This window comes from Homo sapiens, chromosome 3 (genome assembly GCF_000001405.40).
Source record: "Homo sapiens chromosome 3, GRCh38.p14 Primary Assembly".
Lineage (NCBI taxonomy): Eukaryota > Metazoa > Chordata > Mammalia > Primates > Hominidae > Homo > Homo sapiens.
Window position 1 is genome coordinate 90,303,840 of NC_000003.12, and position 25,053 is coordinate 90,328,892.

Sequence of the window (25,053 nt, forward strand, 5' to 3'; positions counted from 1 at the left end):
AGGCCGAGGCGGGCGGATCACGAGGTCAGGAGATCGAGACCATCCCGGCTAAAACGGTGAAACCCCGTCTCTACTAAAAATACAAAAAATTAGCCGGGCGTAGTGGCGGGCGCCTGTAGTCCCAGCTACTTGGGAGGCTGAGGCAGGAGAATGGCGTGAACCCGGGAGGCGGAGCTTGCAGTGAGCCGAGATCCCGCCACTGCACTCCAGCCTGGGCGACAGAGCGAGACTCCGTCTCAAAAAAAAAAAAAAAAAAAAAAAAAAAAAAAAAAAAAAAAAAAAAAAAGAAAGAGTGTATTAAAACTGCTCAGTCAAAACAGAGGTTCAACTCTGTGAGTTGAATGCATACATCACAAAGGAGTTTCTCAGACTGCTTCAGTCAAGTTTTCATGTGAAGATATTTCCTGTTCTAGTAGAGGCCTCAAAGTGCTGCAAATATCCACTTGCAGATTCTACAAAAAGAGTGTTTCAAAACTGCTGAATCAAAAGAAAGTTTCAACTCTGAGAGACGAATGCACACATCATGAAGAAGTTTCTCAGAATGCTTATGTCTACTTTTTATGTGTAGATATTTCCTTTTCCACTGGAGGTCGCAAAGCGCTCCAAACATCCAATTGCATTTTGTACAAAAAGGTTGTTTCAAAACTGCTCAATCAAAAGAGAGGTTCAACTCTGTGAGTTGAATGCACACATCACAAAGAAGTTTCTCAAAATGCTTCTGTCTGGTTTCCATGTGAAGATATTTCCTTTTCCACCATAGGCCTTTAAGTGCTCCCAATATCCATTTGCAGATACTACAAAAAGTCTGTTTTCAAATTGCTCGATCAAAAGAAAGGTTCCACTCTGCGAGTTGAATGCACACATCACAAAGAAGTTTCTTAGAATCCTTCTGTCTAGTTTCCATGTGAAGATATTTCCTTTTCCACCATAGGACTCAAAGCGATCCAAATATCCATTTGTAGGTTCTGCAAAAAGAGTGTTTCAAAACTGCTCAATCAAAAGAAATGTTCAACTCTGTGAGATGAATGCTCACATCACAAAGAAGTTTCTCAGAATGCTTCTGTCTAGTTTTTATGTGAAGATATTTCCTTTTTCACCATAGGCCTCAAAGCGCTCCAAATATCCACTTGCAGATTGTACAAAAAGACTGTTTCCAAAGTGCTCAATCAACGCAAGTGTTTAACTCTGTGAGATGAATGCATACATCACAAAGAAGTTTCTCAGAATGTTTCTGTCTAGTTTTTATGTGAAGATATTTCCTTTTCCAATATAGGCCACAAAGCATTCCAAATATCAACTTATAGATCCTACGAAAAGACTGGCTCCAAACTGCTCAATCAAAAGAAAATTTGAACTCTGTGAGTTGAATGCACACATCACAAGACGTTTCTCAGAATGATTCTGTCTATCTTTTATGTGAAGATATTTCCTTTTACACTAGAGGCCGAAAAGCGCTCCAAATATCCCTTTGCAGATTCTACAAAAAGAGTATTTCAGAACTGCTCAATCAAAAGAGAGGTTAAACACTGTGAGTTGAATGCACACAACACAAGAAATTTCTCAGAATGATTCTCTGTAGGTTTTATGTGAAGATATTTCCTTTTCCACTATAGTCCTCAAAGCGCTCCAAATATCCATTTGCAGATACTAGAAAAAGACTGTTTCCAAAGGGCTCAATCAAAGAAAGGTTCAGCACTGTGATTTGAATGCACACATCCAAAGAAGTTTCTCAGGATGCTTCTGTGTAGTTTTTATGTGAAGATATTTCCTTTTCCACCATAGGTCTCAAAGCGCTCCAAATATCAACTTGCAGAATCTACAAAAAGAGTGTTTCAAAACTGCCCAATCAAAAGAAACTTTCAATTCTGTGAGATGAATGCACAGATCATAAAAAATTTTCTCAGAATGCTTCTGTCTAGTTTTCATGTGAAGATGTTTCCTTTTCCAGTAGAGGCTTCATGGCGCTGCAAATATCCACTTGCAGTTTCTACAAAAAGAGTGTTTCAAAACTGCTCAATCAAAAGAAAGGTTAATCTCCGTGAGGTAAATGCACACATCATAAAGAAGTTTCTCAGAATGCTTGTCTAGTTTTTATGTGAAGATATTTCCTCTTCCACTAGAGGCCGCTTAGTGATCCAAATATTCACTTGCAGAATCTACAAAAAGTGTGTTTCAAACCTGCTCAATCAAAGGAGAGTTTCAACTCTGTTAGTTGAATGCACCCGTCACGAAGTAGTTTCTGAGAATGCTTCGTTCTAGTTTTTATGTGAAGACATTTCCTTTTCCACTAGAGGCCTCAACGCCCTCGAAATATCCACTTGCAAATTCTACAAAAAGAGTGTTTCAAGACCGCTAAATCAAAACAAAGGTTCAATTCTGTGAGATGAATGCACACATCACAAAGTAGTTTCTCAGAATGCTTCTGTCTATTTTTTATGTGAAGATATTTACTTCTGTACTAGAGGCTGCAAAGCGCTCCAAATATCCAGTTGCACATTCTACAAATATAGTGTTTCAAAACTGCTCAATCAAAAGAAATGTTCAACTCTGTGACTTCAGTGCACATTTTACAAAGAAGTTTCTCAGAATGCTTCTGTCCTGTTTTTATATGTAGGTATTTACTTCTCCACTGGAGGCCAAAAAGCACTCCAAATATCCACCGACAGATTTTACAAAAAGAGTACTTCAAAACATCTCAATCAAAAGAAAGTTTCAACTTTGTGAGTTGAAAGCAAATATCACAAAGAAGTTTCTCAGAATGCTTCTGTCTGGTATTTATGTGAAGATATTTCCTTTTCCACCACAGACTTCAAATCGCTACAAATATCCACTAGCAGATTTTACAAAAAGAGTGTTTCAAAACTGTTCAATCAAAAGAAAGGTTCACCTCTGTCAAATGAATGCACAATTCACAAAGAAGTTTCTCAGATCACTTCCGACTAGTTTTTATGTGAAGATATTTCCTTTTCCAATACAGGCCTCAATGGGCAAATATCCACTTGCAGATACTACAAAAAGACTCTTTCCAGACTCCTTAATAAAAAGAAATGTTCGTCTGAAAAGAGGGACAATTTGACTTCCTCTTTTCCTAATTGAACACGCTTTATTTCCTTCTGCCTAATTGCCCTGGCCAGAACTTCCAACACTATGTTGAATAGGAGTGGTGACAGAGGGCATCCCTGTCTTGTGCCAGTTTTCTTTTTTTTTATTTTCAATAATTTTTTATTCTTTTTTTAACTTTTATTTTTATTATACTTTAAGTTTTAGGGTAAAAGTGCACATTGTGCAGGTTAGTTACATATGTATACATGTGCCATGCTGATGCGCTGCACCCACTAACTCGTCATCTACCATTAGGTATATCTCCCAAAGCTATCCCTCCCCCCTCCCCCCACCCCACCACAGTCTCCAGAGTGTGATATTCCCCTTCCTGTGTCCTTGTGATCTCATTGTTCAATTCCCACCTATGAGTGAGAATATGCAGTGTTTGGTTTTTTTGTTCTTGAGATAGTTTACTGAGAATGATGATTTCCAATTTCATCCATGTCCCTACAAAGGACATGAACTCATCATTTTTTTATGGCTGCATAGTATTCCATGGTGTATATGTGCCACATTTTCTTAATCCAGTCTATCGTTGTTGGACATTTGGGTTGGTTCCAAGTCTTCGCTATTGTGAATAATGCCACAATAAACATACATGTGCATGTGTCTTTATAGCAGCATGATTTATAGTCCTTTGGGTATATATCCAGTAATGGGATGGCTGGGTCAAATGGTATTTCTAGTTCTAGATCCCTGAGGAATCGCCACACTGACTTCCACAATGGTTGAACTAGTTTACAGTCCCACCAACAGTGTAAAAGTGTTCCTATTTCTCCACTTCCTCTCCAGCACCTGTTGTTTCCTGACTTTTTAATGATTGCCATTCTAAGTGGTGTGAGATGGTATCTCACTGTGGTTTTGATTTGCATTTCTCTGATGGCCAGTGATGATGAGCATTTTTTCATGTGTTTTTTGGCTGCATGAATGTCTTCTTTTGAGAAGTGTCTGTTCATGTCCTTCGCCCTCTTTTTGATGGGGTTGTTTGTTTTTTTCTTGTGAATTTGTTGGAGTTCATTGTAGATTCTGGATATTAGCCCTTTGTCAGATGAGTAGGTGGCAAAAATTTTCTCCCATTTTGTAGGTTGCCTGTTCAATCTGATGGTAGTTTCTTTTGCTGTGCAGAAGCTCTTTAGTTTAATGAGATCCCATTTGTCAATTTTGTCTTTTGTTGCCATTGCTTTTGGTGTTTTAGACATGAAGTCCTTGCCCATGCCTATGTCCTGAATGGTAATGCTAGGTTTTCTTCTAGGGTTTTTATGGTTTTAGGTCAAACGTTTAAGTCTTTAATCCATCTTGAATTGATTTTTGTATAAGGTGTAAGGAAGGGATCCAGTTTCAGCTTTCTATATATGGCTAGCCAGTTTTCCCAGCACCATTTATTAAATAGGGAATCCTTTCCCCTTGTTTGTTTTTCTCAGGTTTGTCAAAGATCAGATAGTTGTAGATATGTGGCGTATTTCTGAGGGCTCTGTTCTGTTCCATTGATCAATATCTCTGTTTTGGTACCAGTACCATGCTGTTTTGGTTATTGTAGCCTTGTAGTATAGTTTGAAGTCAGGTAGTGTGATGACTCCAGCTTTGTTCTTTTGGCTTAGGATTTACTTGGTGATGCGGGCTCTTTTTTGGTTCCATGTGAACTTTAAAGTAGTTTTTTCCAATTCTGTGAAGAAAGTCATTGGTACCTTGATGGGGATGGCATTGAATCTGTAAATTACCTTGGGCAGTATGGTCATTTTCAGGATATTGATTCTTCCTACCCATGAGCATGGAATGTTCTTCCCTTTGTTTGTATCCTCTTTTATTTCCTTAAGCAGTGGTTTGTAGTTCTCCTTGAAGAGGTCCTTCACATCCCTTGTAAGTTGGATTCCTAGGTATTTTATTCTCTTTGAAGCAATTGTGAATGGGATTTCACTCATGATTTGGCTCTCTGTCTGTTGTTGGTGTATAAGAATGCTTGTGATTTTGGTACATTGATTTTATATCCTGAGACTTTGCTAATGTTGCTTATCAGCTTAAGGAGATTTTGGGCTGAGACAATGGGGTTTTCTAGATATACAATCATGTCGTCTGCAAACAGGGACAATTTGACTTCCTGTTTTCCTAATTGAATACCCTTTATTTCCTTCTCCTGCCTAATTGCCCTGGCCAGAACTTCCAACACTATGTTGAATAGGAGCGGTGAGAGAGGGCATCCCTGTGTTGTGACAATTTTCAAAGGGAATACTTCCAATTTTTGCCCATTCAGTATGATATTGACTGTGGCTTTGTCATAGATAGCTTTTATTATTTTGAGATACGTCCCGTCAATTCCTAATTGATTGAGAGTTTTTAGCATGAAGTGTTGTTGAATTTTGTCAAAGGCTTTTTGTGCATCTATTGAGATAATCATGTGGTTTTTGTCTTTGCCTCTGTTTATATGCTGGATTACATTTATTGATTTGCATATATTGAACCAGCCTTGCATCCCAGGGATGAAGCCCACTTGATCATGGTGGATAAGCTTTTGGATGTGCCGCTGGATTCGTTTTGCCAGTATTTTATTGAGGATTTTTGCATCAATGTTCATTCAAGGATATTGGTCTAAAATTCTGTTTTTTGGTTGTGTCTCTGCCTGGCTTTGGTATCAGAATGATGCTGGCCTCATAAAATGAGGTAGGGAGTATTCTGTCTTTTTCTATTGATTGAATTAGTTTCAGAAAGAATGGTACCAGTCCCTCCTTGTACCTCTGGTAGAATTCGGCTGTGAATCCATCTGGTCCTGGATTCTTTTTGGTTGGTAAGCTATTGATTATTGCCACAATTTCAGATACTGTTATTGGTCTATTCAGAGATTAAACTTCTTCCTGTTTTAGTCTTAGGAGAGTGTATGTGTAGAGAAATTTATCCATTTCTTCTAGATTTTCTAGTTTATTTGTGTAGAGGTGTTTGTAGTATTCTCTGATGGTAGCTTGTATTTCTGTGGGATCGGTGGTGATATCCCCTTTATCATTTTTTATTGCGTCTATTTGATTCTTCTCTCTTTTTTTCTTTATTAGTCTTGCTAGACGTCTATCAATTTTGTTGATACTTTCAAAAAACCAGATCCTGGATTCATTAATTTTGTGAAGGGTTTTTTGTGTCTCTATTTCCTTCAGTTCTGCTCTGATTTTAGTTATTTCTTGCCTTCTGCTAGCTTTTGAATGAGTTTGCTCTTGCTTCTCTAGTTCTTTTAATTGTGATGTTAGGGTGTCCATTTTGGATCTTTCCTGCTTTCTCTTGTGGGCATTTAGTGCTATAAATTTCCCTCTACACACTGCTTTGAATGCATCCCAGAGAATCTGGTATGTTGTGTCTTTGTTCTCATTGGTTTCAAAGAACATATTTATTTCTGCCTTCATTTCGTTATGTACCCAGTAGTCATTCAGGAGCAGGTTGTTCAGTTTCTATGTAGTTGAGCAGTTTTGAGGGAGATTCTTAATCCTGAGTTCTAGTTTGAGTGCACTGTGGTCTGAGAGATAGTTTGTTATAATCTCTGTTCTTTTACATTTGCTGAGGAGAGCTTTACTTCCAACTATGTGGTCAATTTTGGAATAGGTGTGGTGTGGTGCTGAAAAAATGTATATTCTGTTGATTTGGGGTGGAGAGTTCTGTAGATGTTATTAAGTCCACTTGGTGCAGAGCTGAGTTCAATTCCTGGGTATCCTTGTTGACTTTCTGACTCATTAATCTGTCTAATGTTGACAGTGGGGTGTTAAAGTCTCCCATTATTAATGTGTGGGAGTCTAAGTCTCTTTGTAGGTCACTCAGGAATTGCTTTATGAATCTGGGTGCTCCTGTATTCGGTGCATATATATTTAGGATAGTTAGCTCTTCTTGTTGAATTGATCCCTTTACCATTATGTAATGGCCTTCTTTGTCTCTTTTGATGTTTGTTGGTTTAAAGTCTGTTTTATTAGAGACTAGGATTGCAACCCCTGCCTTTTTTTGTTTTCCATTTGCTTGGTAGGTCTTCCTCCATCCTTTAATTTTAAGCCTATGTGTGTCTCTGCACGTGAGATGGGTTTCCTGAATACAGCACACTGATGGGTCTTGACTCTTTATCCAATTTGCCAGTCTGTGTCTTTTAATTGGAGCACTTAGTCCATTTACATTTAATGTTAATATTGGTATGTGTGAATTTGATCCTGTCATTATGATGTTAGCTGGTTATTTTGCTCATTAGTTGATGCAGTTTCTTCCTCGTCTTGATGGTCTTTACATTTTGGCATGATTTTGCAGTGGCTGGTACCGGTTGTTTCTTTCCTTTCCATGTTTAGCACTTCCTTCAGGAGCTCTTTTAGGGTAGTCCTGGTGGTGACAAAATCTCTCAGCCTTTGCTTGTCTGTAAAGTATTTTATTTCTCCTTCACTTATGAAGCTTAGTTTGGCTGAATATGAAATTCTGGGTTGAAAATTCTTTTCTTTAAGAATGTTGAATATTGGTCCCCACTCTCTTCTGGCTTGTAGGGTTTCTGTCAAGAGATCTGCTGTTAGTCTGATGGGCTTCCCTTTGAGGGTAACCTGACATTTCTCTCTGGCTGCCCTTAACATTTTTTCCTTCATTTCAACTTTGGTGAATCTGACAATTATGTGTCTTGGAGTTGCTCTTCTCGAGGAGTATCTTTGTGGCGTTCTCTGTATTTCCTGAGTCTGAACGTTTGCCTGCCTTGCTAGATTGGGGAAGTTCTCCTGGATAATATCCTGCTGAGTGTTTTCCAACTGGGTTCCATTCTCCCCATCACTTTCAGGTAAACCAATGAGATGTAGGTTTGGTCTTTTCATATAGTCCCATATTTCTTGGAGGCTTTACTCATTTCTTTTTATTCTTTTTTCTCTAAACTTCCCTTCTCACTTCATTTCATTCATTTCATCATCCATTGCTGATACCCTTTCTTCCAGTTGATCTCATCAGCTCCTGAGTCTTCTGCATTCTTCAAATAGTTCTCCAGCCTTGGTTTTCAGCTCCACCAGCTCCTTTAAGCACTTCTCTGTATTGGTTATTCTAGTTATACATTCTTCTAAATTTTTTTCAAAGTTTTCAACTTCTTTGTCTTTGGTTTGAATGTCTTCCCGAAGCTCAGAGTAATTTGATCATCTGAAGCCTTCTCTCAGCTCGTCAAAGTCATCCTCCATCCAGCTTTGTTCCGTTGCTGGTGAGGAACTGCGTTCCTTTGGAGGAAGAGAGGTGCTCTGCTTTTTAGAGTTTCCAGTTTTTCTGTTCTGTTTCTTCCCCATCTTTGTGGTTTTATCTACTTTTGGTCTTTGATGATGGTGATGTACACATGGGTTTTTGGTGTGGATGTCCTTTCTGTTTGTTAGTTTTCCTTCTAAAAGACAGGACCCTCAGCTGCAGGTCTGTTGGAATACCCTGCTGTGTGCGGTGTCAGTGTGCCCCTGCTGGGGGGTGCCTCCCAGTTAGGCTGCTCGGGGATCAGGGGTCAGGGACCCACTTGAGGAGGCAGTCTGCCCATTCTCAGACCTCCAATTGTGCCAGTTTTCAAAGGGAATGATTCTAGTTTTTGCCCATTCAGTATGATATTGGCTGTGGGTTTGTCATAGATAGCTCTTATTATTTTGAAATATGTCCCATCAATACCTAATTTATTGAGAGTTTTTAGCATGAAGGGTTGTTGAATTTTGTCAAAGGCCTTTTCTGCATTTATTGAGATGATCATGTGGTTTTTGTCTTTGGCTCTGTTTATATGCTGGATTACATTATTGATTCGCATATATTGAACCAGCCTTGCATCCCAGGGTTGAAGCCCGCTTGATCATGGTGGATAAGCTTTTGGATGTGCTTCTGGATTCGTTTTGCCAGTATTTTATTGAGGATTTTTGCATCAATGTTCATCAAGGATATTGGTCTAAAATTCTCTTTTTTGGTTGTGTCTCTGCCAGGCTTTGGTATCAGAATGATGCTGGCCTCCTAAAATGAGTTAGGGAGGATTCCCTCTTTTTCTATTGATTGGAATAGCTACAGAAGGAATGGTGCCAGTTCCTCCTTGTACCTCTGATAGAATTCCACTGTGAATCCATCTGGTCCTGGACTCTTTTTGGTTGGTAAGCTGTTGATTATTGCCACAATTTCAGATCCTGTTATTGGTCTATTCCTAGATTCAAATTCTTCCTGTTTTAGTCTTGGGAGAGTGTATGTGTCGAGGAATTTATCCATTTCTTCTAGATTTTCTACTTTATTTGCCTAGGGGTGTTTGTAATATTCTCTGATGGTAGTTTGTATTTCTGTGGGATTGGTGGTGATATCCTCTTTATCATTTTTTATTGTGTCTATTTGATTCTTCTCTCTTTTTTTCTTTATTAGTCTTGCCATTGGTCTATTTTGTTGATCCCTTCAAAAAAACCAGCTCCTGGATTCATTAATTTTTTGAAGGGTTTTTGACATGATTGTATATCTAGAAAACCCCATTGTCTCAGCCCAAAATCTCCTTAAGCTGATAAGCAAATTCAGCAAAGTCTCAGGATACAAAATCAATGCTCCAAAACCACAAGCATTCTTATACACCAACAGCAGACAAACAGAGAGCCAAATCATGAGTGAACTCCCCTTCACAATTGTTTCAAAGAGAATAAAATACATAGGAATCCAACTTACAAGGGATGTGAAGGACCTCTTCAAGGAGAACTACAAACCACTGCTTAAGGAAATAAAAGAGGATACAAACAAATGGAAGAACATTCCATGCTCATGGGTAGGAAGAATCATTATCATGAAAATGACCATACTGCCCAAGGTAATTTATAGATTCAATGCCATCCCCATAAAGGTACCAATGACTTTCTTCACAGAATTGGAAAAAACTACTTTAAAGTTCATATTGGAAACAAAAAAGAGCCCGCATCACCAAGTCAATCCTAAGTCAAAAGAACAAAGCTGGAGTCATCACACTACCTGACTTCAAACTATACTACAAGGCTACAGTAACCAAAACAGCATGTTACTGGTACCAAAACAGAGATATTGATCAATGGAACAGAACAGAGCCCTCAGAAATAATGCTGCATATCTACAACTATCTGATCTTTGACAAACCTGAGAAAAACAAACAAGGGGAAAGGATTCCCTATTTAATAAATGGTGCTGGGAAAACTGGCTAGCCATATATAGAAAGCTGAAACTGGATCCCTTCCTTACACCTTATACAAAAATCAATTCAAGATGGATTAAAGACTTAAATGTTAGACCTAAAACCATAAAAACCCTAGAAGAAAACCTAGGCAATACCATTCAGGACATAGGCATGGGTAAGGACTTCATGTCTAAAACACCAAAAGCAATGGCAACAAAAGACAAAATTGAGAAATGGGATCTAATTAAACTAAAGTGCTTCTGTACAGCAAAAGAAACTACCATCAGATTGAACAGGCAACCTACAAAATGGGAGAAAATTTTTGCCACCTACTCATCTGACAAAGGGCTAATATCCAGAATCTACAATGAACTCCAACAAATTTACAAGAAAAAAACAAACAACCCCAACAAAAAGTGGGCAAAGAACATGAACAGACACTTCTCAAAAGAAGACATTCATGCAGCCAAAAAACACATGAAAAAATGCTCATCATCACTGGCCATCAGAGAAATGCAAATCAAAACCACAGTGAGATACCATCTCACACCACTTAGAATGGCAATCATTAAAAAGTCAGGAAACAACAGTTGCTGGAGAGGATGTGGAGAAATAGGAACACTTTTACACTGTTGGTGGGACTGTAAACTAGTTCAACCATTGTGGAAGTCAGTGTGGCAATTCCTCAGGGATCTAGAACTAGAAATACCATTTGACCCAGCCATCCCATTACTGGGTATATACCCAAAGGACTATAAATCATGCTGCTATAAAGACACATGCACATGTATGTTTATTGTGGCATTATTCACAATAGCAAAGACTTGGAACCAACCCAAATGTCCAACAACGATAGACTGGATTAAGAAAATGTGGCACATATACACCATGGAATACTATGCAGCCATAAAAAATGATGAGTTCATGTCTTTGTAGGGACATGGATGAAATTGGAAATCATCATTCTTAGTAAACTATCGCAAGAATGAAAAACCAAACACCGCATATTCTCACTCATAGGTGGGAATTGAACAGTGAGATCACATGGACACAGGAAGTGGAACAACAGACTCTGGGGCCTGTTTTGTGGTGGGGCAAGGGGAGAGGTATAGCATTGGGAGATATACCTAATGCTAGATGACGAGTTAGTGGGTGCAGTGCACCAGCACGGCACATGTGTACATATGTAACTAACCTGCACATTGTGTACATGTACCCTAAAACTTAAAATATAATAATAAAAGAAAAAAGTATAAATCTGCCATAAAAAAAGAAGAATTGTTTAACTCTCTGAGTTGAATGCACACGTCACAAAGAAGGTTCTCAGAGTGCTTCTGTCTAGTTATTATGTGAATATATTTCCTTTTTCCACCTTAGGACTCAAAGCGCTCCAAACATCCACTTTGAGACTCTCCAAAAAGAGTGTTTCAAAACTGCTCAGTCAAAACAAACGTTCATGTCTGTGAGTTGAAAGCACAAATCACAAAGTAGTTTCTCAGAATGCTTCTGTCTAGTTTGTATGTAAAGATATTTCCTTTTTCACTAAAGGCCGCAAAGAGCTCCAAATATCCACTTGCAGATACTACAAGAAGAGTGTTTCAAAACTGCCCAATCAAAAGAAAGTTTGAATTCTGTGTGTTGAATGCACACATCCCAAAGAAGTTTCTCAGGATGCTTCGGTCTAGTTTTTATGTGAAGATATTACCTTTTCCTCTTTAGGCCGCAAAGTGATCGAAATATCCACTTTCAGATTCCACAAAAAGTGTTTTTAAAAATAGCTAAAATAAAAGAAATGTTCAATTCTGAGATGAATGCACACATCTCAAAAAACTTTCTCAGAATGCTTCTGTGTAGATTTTATATGAAGATATTCCCTTTTCCACTATAGGCCTCAAAACTCTCCTTATGTCCATTTGCAGATACTACATAAAGACTGTTTCCACAGCACAAAGAAGATTCTCAGCATGCTTCTGTCTAGTTTTTATTTGAAGATATTTCCTTTTCCACTGTAGGCCCCAAAGCACTCCAAATATCCAGTTGCAGCTTCTGCAAAAAAAGTGCTTCCAAACTCCTCTATCAAAAGAAACGTTCTACTCTCTGAGATGAAGGCACACATCACAAAGAAGATTCTCAGAATGCTTCTTTCTAGTTTTTATGAGAAGATATTGCCTTTTCCAGTATAGCCTGCAAAGCACTCCAAGTATCCCTTGCAGATTCTACATAAAGAGTGCTTCTAAAGTGCTCAATCAAAAGAAAGGTTCAACTATGTGCGATGAATGCACACATCACAAAGAAGTTTCTCAGAATGCTTCTGTCTAGCTTTTATGTGAAGATGTTTCCTTTTCCACTATAGGCCACAATGCACTCCAAATATCCACATGCAGATTCTACAGAAAGAGTGTTTAAAAACTGCTCAATCAAAAGAAAATTTCAACTCTGTGAGATGAATGCACACATCAAAAAGTAGCTTCTCAGTATGATTGGGTCTAGTTTTTAAGTGAAGATATTTCCTTTTCGGCTATAGTCTGCAAAGCGCTCCAAATATCCACTTGCAGATACTACAAAAAGAGTGTTTCCAAGCTGCTCAATCAAAAGAAACGTTCAACTCTGTGACATAAACACACACATCAGAAAGTAGTTTCTCAGAATGCTTCTGTCTAATTTTCATGTGAAGATATTTCCTTTTCCACTATGGGCCACAAAGCGCTAAAAATATCCACTTGCAGATACCACAAAAAGAGAGTTTCAAACCTCCTCAATCAAAAGAAAAGTTCAACTCTGTGAGATGAATGCACACACCACAAATAAATTTCTGAGAATGCTTCTGTCTAGTTTTTCTGTGAAGAAATTTCCTTTTCCACTAGAGGCCTCAAAGCACTCCAACTATCCACCTGCAGATTCTACAAAAATAGTGTTTTAAAACTCCTCAATCAAAAGAGATGTTCAGCAATGTGAGTTGAATGAACTCATCACAAAGAAGTTTTTCAGAATTCTTCTGCCTAGTTTTTATGTGAAGATATTTCCTTTTCCACTATAGGCCTCAAGGCGCTCCAAATATCCACTCGCAGATACTACAAAAATTCTGTTTCCAAACTGCTGAATAAAAAGAAAGGTTCAACTCTGCGAGTTGAATGCACACATCACAAAGAGGTTTCTCAGAATGCTTTTGTCTAGTCTTAATATGAAGATATATCCTTTTCCAACTTAGGACTCAAAGGGTTCCAAGCACCCACTTGCAGATTCTACAAAAAGAGTATTTCAAAACTGCTGAATCAAAACAAAGGTTCATGTCTGTGAGTTGAAAGCACACGTCACAAATAAGTTTATCAGAATGCTTCTGTCTAATTTTTATGTAAAGATATTTCCTTTTCCACTATAGGCCACAAAGAACACCAAATATCCACTTGCAGATTCTACAAAAAGAGTGTTTCAAAACTGCTCAATCAAAAGAAAGTTTCAACTCTGTGTATTGAATACACATATCTGAAAGCAGTTTCTCGGACTGCTTCTGTCTAGTTTTTATGTGAAGATATTACCTTTTCCACTACAGGCCGCAAAGTGCTCCAAATATCCACTTGCAGATTCTACAAAATCTGTGTTTAAAAATTGCTAAATCAAAAGAAAGATTCAACTCTGAGATGAATGCACACATAACAAAGAAGTTTCTCAGAATGCTTCTGTGTAGTTTTTATGTGAAGATGTTCCCTTTTCCACTATAGGCCTCAAATCGCTCCTAATATCCATTCGCAGATACTACAAAAAGACTGTTACCTCATCACAAAGAAGATTTCCAGCATGCTTCTGTCTAGTTTTTATTTGAAGATATTTCCTTGTCTACTATAGGCCCAAAGCGCTCCAAATATCCACTTGCAGATTCTACAAAAGGAATGTTTCCAAACTGCTCAATCAAAAGAAATGTTCAACTCTGTGAGATGAAGGCACGCATCACAAAATGATACTCAGAATGCTTCAGTCTAGTCTTTATGTGAAGATATTTCCTTTTCCACTATAGGCCACAATGTGCTCCAAATATCCACTTGCAGATTCTACAAAAAGAGTGTTTAAAAACTGCTCTATCAAAAGAAATGTTGAACTCTGTGACATGAACACACATAGAAAGAAGTTTCTCAGAATGCTTCTGTCTAGTTTTTATGTGAAGATATTTCCTTTATCACTACGGGCAGCAAAGCACTCAAATATCCACTTGCATTTACCACAAAAAGAGAGTTTCAAAACTACTCAATCAAAAGAAAAGTTTAATTCTGTGAGATGAATGCAGACATAACAAAGAATTTTCTCAGAATGCTTCTGTCTAGTTTTTATGTGAAGATATTTCCTTTTCCAGGATAGGCCTCAAGCTGCTCCAAATATCCACTTTCAGATACTACAAAAAGACTGTTTCCAAACTGCTCAGTCAGAAGAAAGTTTCAACTCTGTGAGTTGAATGCACGCATCACAAAGAAGTTGATCAGAATGCTTCTCTGTCGTTTTTATGTGAAGATATTTCCCTTTCCACCATAGGCTTCAAAGCGCTCCAAATATCCACTTGCAAATTCTACAAAAAGAGAGTTTCAAAACTGCTCAAGCAAAAGAAAGGTTGAAAACTGTGAGTTGAATACACACATCACAAAGAAGTTTCTCAGAGTGGTTTGTCTCCTTTATATGTGAAGATATTACCTCTTTCACCATAGGTATCAAAGCGCTCCAAATATGCACTTGCACATTCCACAAAAAGAGTGTTTCAAAACTGTTTAATCAAAAGAAAGTTTCAACTCTGTGAGATGAATGCACACATCACAAGGAAGTTTCTCAGAATGCTTCTGTCTAGTTTTTATGTGAAGATATTTTCTTTTCCATATAGTCTTCAAAGCACTGCAAACATCCACTTGCAGATACTACAAAAAGACTCTTTCCAAACTTCTCAATCAAAAGAAAGGTTCAACTCTGTGTGTTGAATACACACATCACCAAGAAGTTTCTCAGAATGTTTCTATCTAGTTTTTATGTGAATATATCTCCTTTTCCACTAGAGGCCACAAAACGCTCCAAATATCCAGTTGCAAATTCTATAAAAAGATTGTTTCAAAACTGCTCAATCAAAAGAAAGTTTCAACTCTGTGAGATGAATGTACACATCACAAAGAAGTTTCTCAGAATGTTTCTGTGTAGTTTTTATATGAAGGAATTTCCTTTTACACCATAGGCCTCAAAGTGCTCAAAATATCCACTTGCAGATTCTACAAAAAGAGTGTGTCAACACTGCTCAATCTAAAGAGAGGTTCAACTCTGTAAGCGGAATGCACACATCACAAAGAAGTTTCTCAGAATGCTTCTGTCTAATTTTTATGTGAAGATATATCCTTTAACAGCACAGGCCCCAATGCGCTCCAAATATCCACTTGCAGATTCCAGCAAAAGAGTTTTTCAAAACTGCTCAATCTAAAGAAAAGTTCAACTCTGTGAGAGGAATGCACACATCAGAACGTAGTTTCTCAGAATGCTTCTGTCTAGTTTTTATGTGAAGATAATTCCTTTTCCACAATAGGCCGCAAAGCGTTCCAAATTTCCACTTACAGATTCTACAAAAAGAGTGTTTCAAAACTGCTCAATCAAAAGAAAGGTTCAACTCTGTGAGAGGAATCCACTAGAGGCTGAAAAGTGCTCCAAATATCCACTTGCAGATTCTACAAAAAGAGTGTATCAAAACTGCTCAATCAAAAGAAAGGTTCAACTCTGTTAATTGAATGCAGACATCACAATGAAGTTTCTCAGAATGCTTCTGTCTAGTTTTTATGTGAAGACATTTCCTTTTCCACCATTGTCCTCAAACCGCTCCAAATATCCACTTGCAGATACTACAGAAAGAGTGTTTTCAAACTGCTTAATCAAAAGAAAGGTACAACTCTGTGAGTTGAATGTACACATCACAAAGAAGTCTCTGAGAATGCTTCTGTGTTGTTTTTTTCTGAAGATATTTCCTTTTCCACGGTAGGCCTCAAAGCACTCCAAATATCCACTTGCATATTCTACAAAAAGAATGTTTCCAAACTGCTCAATCAAAAGAAAGGTTTGTCTCTCTTTTCTTCTTTATTAGTCTTGCTAGCAGTCTATCAATTTTGTTGATCCTTTCAAAAAACCAGATCCTGGATTCATTAATTTTTTGAAGGGGTTTTTTTTTTCTCTATTTCCTTCAGTTCTGCTGTGATTTTAGTTATTTCTTGCCTTCTGCTAGCTTTTAAATGTATTTGCTCTTGCTTTTCTAGTTCTTTTAATTGTGATGTTAGGGTGTCAATTTTGGACCTTTCCTGCTTTCTCTTGTGGGCATTTAGTGCTATAAATTTCTCTCTACACACTGCTTTGAATGTGTCCCAGAGATTCTGGTATGTTGTGTCTTTGTTCTCGTTGGTTTCAAAGAACATCTTTATTTCTGCCTTCATTTCATTATGTACCCAGTAGTCATTCAGGAGCAGGTTGTTCAGTTTCCATGTAGTTGAGCGGTTTTGAGTGAGTTTCTTAATCCTGAGTTCTAGTTTGATTGCACTGTGGTCTGAGAGACAGTTTGTTATAATTTCTGTTCTTTGACATTTGCTGAGGATAGTTTTACTTCCAACTATGTGGTCAGTTTTGGAATAGGTGTGGTGAAATGTATATTCTGTTGATTTGGGGTGAAGAGTTCTGTAGATGTCTATTAAGTCCACTTGGTGCAGAGCTGAGTTCAATTCCTGGGTATCCTTGTTAACTTTCTGTCTCGTTGATCTGTCTAATGTTGACAATGGGGTGTTAAAGTCTCCCATTATTATTGTGGGGCAGTCTAAGTCTCTTTATATGTCACTCAGGACATACTTTATGAATAAGGGTGCTCCTGTATTGGGTGCATATATCTGGAACTAGAAATACCATTTGACCCAGCCATCCTATTACTGGGTATATACCCAAAGGACTATAAATCATGCTGCTATAAAGACACATGCACACATATGTTTATTGTGGCACTATTCACAATAGCAAAGACTTGGAACCAATACAAATGTCCAACAATGATAGACTGGATTAAGAAAATGTGGCACAAATACACCATGGAATACTAGGCAGACATAAAAATGATGACTTCATGTCCTTTGTAGGGACATGGATGAAATTGGAAATCATCATTCTCAGTAAACTATTGCAAGGACAAAAAACCAAACACTGCATGTTCTCTTTCATAGGTGGGAATTGAAAAATGAGAACACATGGACACAGGAAGGGAACATCACACTCTGGGGACTGTTGTGGGGTGTGGGGAGTGGGGAGGGACAGGACTAGGAGGTAGAACTAATGCTAAATGACGAGTTAATTGGTGCAGCACACCAGCATGACACATGTATACATATGTAACTAACCTGCACATTGTACACATGTACCCTAAAAATAAAAGTATAATAATAATAAAATAAAAAACAAAGAAAGGTTCAACTCTATGAGATGAATGCACACATCACAAAGACGTTTCTCAGAATGCTTCTGTCTAGTTTCTATGTGAAGACATTTCTTTTCCAATACTGGCCAAAAAGTGTTCCAAATATCCACTTGCAGAGTCCACAAAAAGAGTGCTTCAAAACTGCTTAATCAAAAGAAAGTTACAACTCTGTGAGTCAAATGTACACATCACAAAGAAGTTTCTCAGAATGCTTCTGTCTTTTTTTTATGTGAAGGTATTACCTTTTACACTAGATGCCAAAAAGTGCTCCAAATATCCACTTGCAGATTCTACAAAAATAATGTTTCAAAACTGCTCAATGAAAAGAAAGTTTCAACTCTGTGAGTTGAATGCACACATCACAATGAAGTTTCACAGAATGCTTCTGTCTAGTTTCTATGTGAAGATATTTCCTTTTCCACGAGAGGACATGAAGCGCTCCAAACATCCACTTGCAGATTCTACAAAAACTGTGTTTCAAAACTTATAAATCAAAAGAATGGTTGAACTCTGTGAGTTGAATGCACACATCACAAAGAAGTTTCTCTGAATGATTCTGTCTAGTTTTTATATCAAGATATTTCCTTTTCCACCGTAGGCCTCAAGCTGCTCCAAATATCCATTTGCAGATCATACAAAAAGACTGTTTCCAAACTGCTCAATCAAAAGAAAGGTTCAACTCTGTGAGATGAATGCACACATCACAAAGAAGTTTCTCAGTATGCTTCTGTCTAGTTTTTATGTGAAGATATTTCCTTTCCACTATGGGCTGCAAAGCGCTCAAAATATCCACTTGCAGGGTACCACAAAAAGAGAATTTCAAAACTGCTCAATCAAAAGAAAAGTTCAATTCTGTGAGATGAATGCAGACATCACAAAGAATTTTCTCAGAATGCTTCTGTCTAGTTTTTATGTGAAGATATTTGCTTTTCCAGCACAGGCCTCAAACCACTCCAATATCCACTTTCAGATACTACAAAAAGACTGTTTCCAAACTGCTTAATCAGAAGAAAGTTTCAACTCTGTGAGTTGAATGGACACATGAGAGAGAAGTTTCTCCGAATGCTTCTCTGTCGTTTTTGTGTGAAGATATTTCCTTTTCCACCATAGGCATCTATGTGCTCCAAATATCCACTTGCAGATTATACAAAAAGAGTGTTTCAAAACTGCTCAATCAAAAGAAAGGTTGAAAACTGTGAGGTGAATACACAAATCACAAAGAATTTTCTCAGAGTGCTTTTGTCTAGTTTTTATGTGAAGATATTTGCTTTTCCAGCACAGGCCTCAAACCGCTCCAATATCCACTTTCAGATACTATAAAAAGACTGTTTCCAAACTGCTCAATCAGAAGAAAGTTTCAACTCTGTGAGATGAATGCACACATCACAAAGAAGTTTCTCAGAATGCTTCTTTCTAGTTTTTATGTGAAGATATTTCCATTTCCACCGTAGGCCTCAAATCGCTCCTAAAATAAATATGCAGATTCTGCAAAAAGAAGGTTTCAAAACTGCTCAATCAAAAGAAAGGTTCAACTATGTGAGATGAATTCAGTAGAGGCTGAAAAGCCCTCCAAATATCCACTTTCAGATTCTACAAAAAGAGTGTTTCCAAACTGCTCAATCAAAGGAAATGTTCAATTCTGTGAGGTGAATGCACACATCACAAAGAAGTTTCTCAGAATGCTTCTGTCTAGTTTTTATGTGAAGATATTTACTTTTGCACTAGATGCTGCAAAGCTCTCCAAATATCCAGTTGCAGATATTCCAAAAAGAGCGTTTCAAAACTGCTCAATCAAAAGAAAGTTTCAACTCTGTGAGATGAATGCACACATCACAAAGAAGTTTCTCACAAAGCTTGTGTCTGGTTTCTATGTGAAGATATTTCATTTTCCACCATAGGTCTCAAAGCGCTCCAGATATCCACTTACAGATTCTACAAAAAGAGTGTTTCAAAACTACTCAATCAAAGGAAAGTTCAAATCTGTGAGGTGAATGCACACATTAGAAAGAATTTCCTCAGAATGCTTCTGTCTAGTTTTTATGTGAAGATGTTTCCTTTCCACTAGAGGACGTGAAGTGCTCCAAACATCCACTTGCAGATTCTACAAAAACTGTGTTTCAAAACCTCTCAATCAAAAGAATGGTTCAATTCTGTGAGTTGAATACACACATCATGAAGAAGTTTCTCAGAATGCTTCTGTCTAGTTTTTAAGTGAAGATATTTCCTTTTCCATTATAATCCACAAAGTACTCCAAATATCCACTTGCAGATTCTTGAAAAAGACTGTTTCCACACTGCTCAATCTAAAGAAAGTTTCAACTCTGTGAAACGAAAGCACACATCACAACGAAGTTTATCAGAAATTTTCTGTCTAGTTTTTATGTGAAGATATTTCCTATTTCCTCTTAGGCCTCATGGGGCTCACAAATATTCCTTGGCAGATACTACAAAAAGTGTGTTTCAAAACTCTGCAATCAAAAGAAAGGTTCAACTTTTTTGGATGAATCCACGCATCACAAAGTAGTTTCTCAGAATGCTTCTGATTATTTTTCTTTGTGAAGATATTTCCTTTTCCACCATAGGCATCAAAGCACTCCAAATATCCACTTGCAGATTCTACAAAAAGAGTGTTTCAAAACTCCTCAATCAAAAGAAAGGTTCAACTTTTTTGGATGAATCCACACATCACAAAGTAGTTTCTCAGAATGCTTCTGTCTAGTTTTTATGTGAAGATATTTCCTTTTCCACCATAGGCCTCAAAGCACTCCAAATATCCACTTGCAGATTCTACAAAAAGAGTGACTCAAAACTGCTCAATCAAAAAAGAGGCTCAACTCTGTGAGTTAAATGCAAACCTCCAAAGAAGTTTATCAGAATGCTTCTGTCTAGTTTTTATGTGAAGATATTTCATTTCCCACCACAGGCCTCAAAGTGCTCTAAATATCTACTTGCAGATCCTACAAAAAGACTCTTTCCTAACTGCTGAATCAAAAGAGACCTTCAACCCTGTGAGTTGAATGCACAGGTCACAAAGAAGTTTCTCAGCATGCTTCTGTCTAGTTTTTATGTGAATATATTTTCCTTTTCAATATAGGCCTGAAAGTACTCCAAATATCGATTTGCAGATTCTACAAAAAGACTGTTTCCAAACTGCTCAATCAAAAGTGAGGTTCAACTCTGTGAGATGAAAGCATACATCATGAAGAAGTTTCTTAGAATGCTTCTGTCTAGTTTTTGTGTGAAGATATTTCCTATTTCACCATAGGCCTTAAAGGGCTCACTAATATCCCTTTGCAGATTCTACAAAAGGACTCTTTCAAAACTGCTCAGTCAAAGGAAAGGCTCAAATCAGTTAGATGAATGCACACAACACAAAGAAGTTTCTCAGAATGCTTCTGTCTAGTTTTAAGTGAAGATATATCCTTTTCCACCACATGCCTCAAAGCACTCCAAATATCCACTTGCAGATTCTGAAAAAGAGTGATTCAAAACTGCTAAAAGGAAAGGTTCAACTCTGTGAGATGAAAGCACACATCACGAAGCAGTTTAACATAATGCTTCTTTCTATGTGAAGATACTTCCTTTTGCACCATAGGCCTAATAGCGCTCCAAATATCCACTTGCAGATTCTACAAAAAGAGTGTTTGTAAACTGCTCAATCAAAAGAAAGATTCAATGCTGTGAGATGAATGCACACATCACAAAGAAGTTTCTCAGAATGCTTCTGATTATTTTTCTTTGTGAAGATATTTCCTTTTTCATGATAGGCCTCAAAGCACTCCAAATATCCATTTGTAGATATTACAAAAAGACTGTTTGCAAACTGCTCAATCAAAAGAAAGTTTCAACTCTGTGAGATGAATAAACACATCACAAATAAGTTTCTCAGAAAGCTTCTGTCTAGTTTTTATGTGAGTATATTTCCCATTACCCCATAGGCCTCAATAGGTACACAAATATCACTTTGCAGATTCTACAAAACAACTGTTTCCATACTGTGCAATCAAAAGTAATGTTCAACTCTGTGAGATGTATGAACACATCTCAGAGTACTTTCTCATAATTCTTCTGTCTTGCTTTTATGAGAAGATATTTCGTTTTCCACCATAGGCCTCAAAGTGCTCCAAATATCCACTTGCAGATTCCACAAAATAGTTTTTCAAAACTGCTCAATCAAAAGAAAGGTTCAACTCAGTGAGATGAATGCACACATCACAACGAAGTTTCTCAGAATGCTTCTGTCTAGTTTTTATGTGAAGATATTTCCTTTTCCACTATGGACCACAAAGAGCTCCAAAATATCCATTTGCAGATACTACAGAACGACTGTTTCCAAACTGATCACTCAAAAGGGAGGTTCAAATCTCAGAGATAAATGCACACATCACAAAAAAGTTTCTCAGAATGTTTCTGTCTGTTTTTTATGTGAAGTTGTTTCTTTTTCAACACAGACTTCAAAGCACCCCAAATATCCCTTTGCAGATTGTACAAAAAGACTGCTTCCACACTGCTCAATCAAAAGAAAGGTTCAACTCTGTGTGATGAAAGCACACATCACAAAGAAGTTTCTCACAAAGTTTCTGTCTAGTCTTTATGTGAATATATTTCCTATTTCCCCATAGGCCTCAATGGGATCACAAATATCTCTTTTCAGATTCAACAAAAAGAGTGTTTCAAATCTCCTCAATTAAAACAAAGGGTGAACACTGTGAGATGAATGCACACTTCACAAAGTAGTTTCTCAGAATGCTTCTGTGTAGTTTTTATGTGAATATATTTCTTATTCCATGAAAGACCTCAAAGCGCTCCAAATTTCCATTTGCAGATACTACAAGAAGATTGTTTCCAAACTACTCAATCAAAAGAAAGTTCAACTCTGTTAGATGAATGCACACATCACAAAGAAGTTTCTCAGAATGCTTCTGTGTAGTTTTTATGTGAGGATATTTCCTTTTCCACAATAGGCATCAGAGTGCTCCAAGTATCCACTTGCAGATTCTACAAAAAGATTGTTTCAAAACTACTCAATAAAAAGAAAGATTCAACTCTCTGAGATGAATGGATCCATCACAAAGAAGTTTCTCATAATGCTTCTGTCTAGATTTATGTGAAGATATTTCTTTTTCCACTATAGGCCTCAAAGCGCCCCAAATATCCATTTGTAGATACTACAAATGGACTGTTTCCAAACTGTTCAATCAAAAGAAAGGTTCAACTCTGTGACCTGAATGCACATATCACAAAGATGTTTCTTAGAATACTTCTGTCTAGTTTTTATATGACGATAGTTTTTTTTTCACCGTAGGCCTCAAAGCGCTCCAGATATCCATTTGCAGATAATACAAAAAGACTTTTTCCAAACTGCTCAATCAAAGGAAAGGTTCAACTCTGTTAGATGAACACACACATCCAAAAAAGTTTCTCAGATTGCTACTGTCTAGTTTTTATGTGAAGATAATTCTTTTTCCACTGCAGTCCTCAAAACGCTTCAAATATCCACTTGCAAATTCTACAAAAAGAGTGTTTGCACACTGCTGAATCAAAGAAATGTTCAACTCTGTGAGATGAATGCACACATCACAAAGACGTTTCTCAGAATGCTTCTGTCTGGTTTTTAATTGAAGATATTTCCTTTTCAACCATAGGCCTCAAAGTGCTGCAAATATCCACTAGCAGATTCTACAAAAAGAGTGTTTCAAAACGGCTCTATCAACAGAAAGTTTCAACTCTGTGAGATGAAAGAACACATCACAAAGCAGTTTCTCATAATGCTTCTGTCTGTTTTTTTTTGTGAAGATATTTCCTTTTCTACCATAGGCCTCAATGCACTCCAAATATTCGTTTGCCAATACTACAAAAAGTCTCTTTCCACACTGCTCAAACATAAGAAATCTTCAGCTCTGTGAGTTGAATGCACACATCACAAAAAAGTTTCTCAGAATGCGTCTGCCTAGTTTTTATGGGAAGATATTTGCATTTTTACCTTAGGCCTCAAAGTGCTCCAAATATCCCTTTGCAGATTCTAAAAAACCATGGTGTCCAAACTGCTCAATCAAAGGAAGTTTCAACTCTGTGAGATAAAACCACACATCACAAAGTAATTTCACAAAAAGTTTCTGTCTAGTTTTCATGTGAAGATATTTCCTGTTTCCCCAGAGCCCTCAATGCACTCACAAGTAGCCCTTTGCAGATTCTACAAAACGAGTGTTTCCAAACTGCTCAATCAAAAGAAATATTCACCACAGTGAGATGAATGCACACATCACAAAGGAGTTTCTCAAAATGCTTCTTTCTAGTTTTTGTGTGAAAGTATTTACTTTTCCACCATAGGCCTCAAAGCACTCCATGTATCCACTTGCAGATTCTACAAAAAGATTGTTTCAAAACTACTCAATAAAAAGAAAGATTCAACTCTCTGACATGAATGGATCCATCACAAAGAAGTTTATCATAATGCTTCTGTCTAGATTTATGTAAAGATATTTCTTTTTCCACTATAGGCCTCAAAGCACTCCAAATATCCATCTGCAGATACTACAAATGGACTGTTTCCAAACTGCTCAATCAAAATAAAGGTTCAACTCTGTGAGCTGAATGCACACCTCACAAACCAGTTTCTCAGAATGTTTCTGTCTAGTTTTTATTTGAAGTTATTTCCTTTTCCACCACAGGTTGCAAAGCACTCCAAATATCCACTTGCAGATTCTACAAAATGGGTGTTTCCAAATTTCCCAATCAAAGGAAATGTTAAACTCTTTGAGAGGAAAGCACACATCACAAAGAAGTTTCTCAAAATGCTGCTTTCTAGTTTTTATGTGAAGATATTTCCTTTTCCACTATAGGCCTCAAAGCGTTTCAGATATCCACTTGCAGATTCTACAAAAAGAGTGTTTCAAGACTGCTTAATCAAAAGAAAAGTTCAACTCTGTGATATGAATGTACATATCACAAAGAAGTTTCTCAGAATGCTTCTGTCTAGTTTTTTAGTGAAGATATTTCCTTTTCCACTATAGGCCCCAAAGCGCTCCAAATATCCACTTGCAGATTCTACAGAAAGACTGTTTCAAAACTGCTCAATCAAAAGAAAGATTCAACTTTGTGAGATGACTGCAAACATCACAAAGATGTTTCTCAGAATGCTTCTGTCCAGTTTTTATGTGAAGATATTTCCTTTTCCACTATAGGCCACAAAGTGCTCCATTTATCCATCCGTAGATTCTGCAAAAAGAGTGTTTCCAAACTGCTCAATCAAAAGAAATTTTCATCTCTTTGAGATGAATGCACACATCACAAAGAAGTTTCTCAGAATGCTTCTGTCTACTTTTTGTGTGAAGGTATTTCCTTTTCCATCATAGGCCAAAAAGGGCTCCAAATATGGAGTTCCAGA

At 37.4% G+C, this 25,053-nt stretch overlaps 1 annotated feature.

Annotated features, from left to right (window-relative positions):
- Positions 20,114 to 20,697: an enhancer, noted in NCBI's record as "OCT4 hESC enhancer chr3:90373103-90373686 (GRCh37/hg19 assembly coordinates)". NCBI's record gives its function as "activates a minimal SCP1, AML or CMV promoter by ChIP-STARR-seq in naive H9 embryonic stem cells {active_cell/tissue: H9 hESC(naive)}" and the evidence as "EXISTENCE:reporter gene assay evidence [ECO:0000049][PMID:30033119]".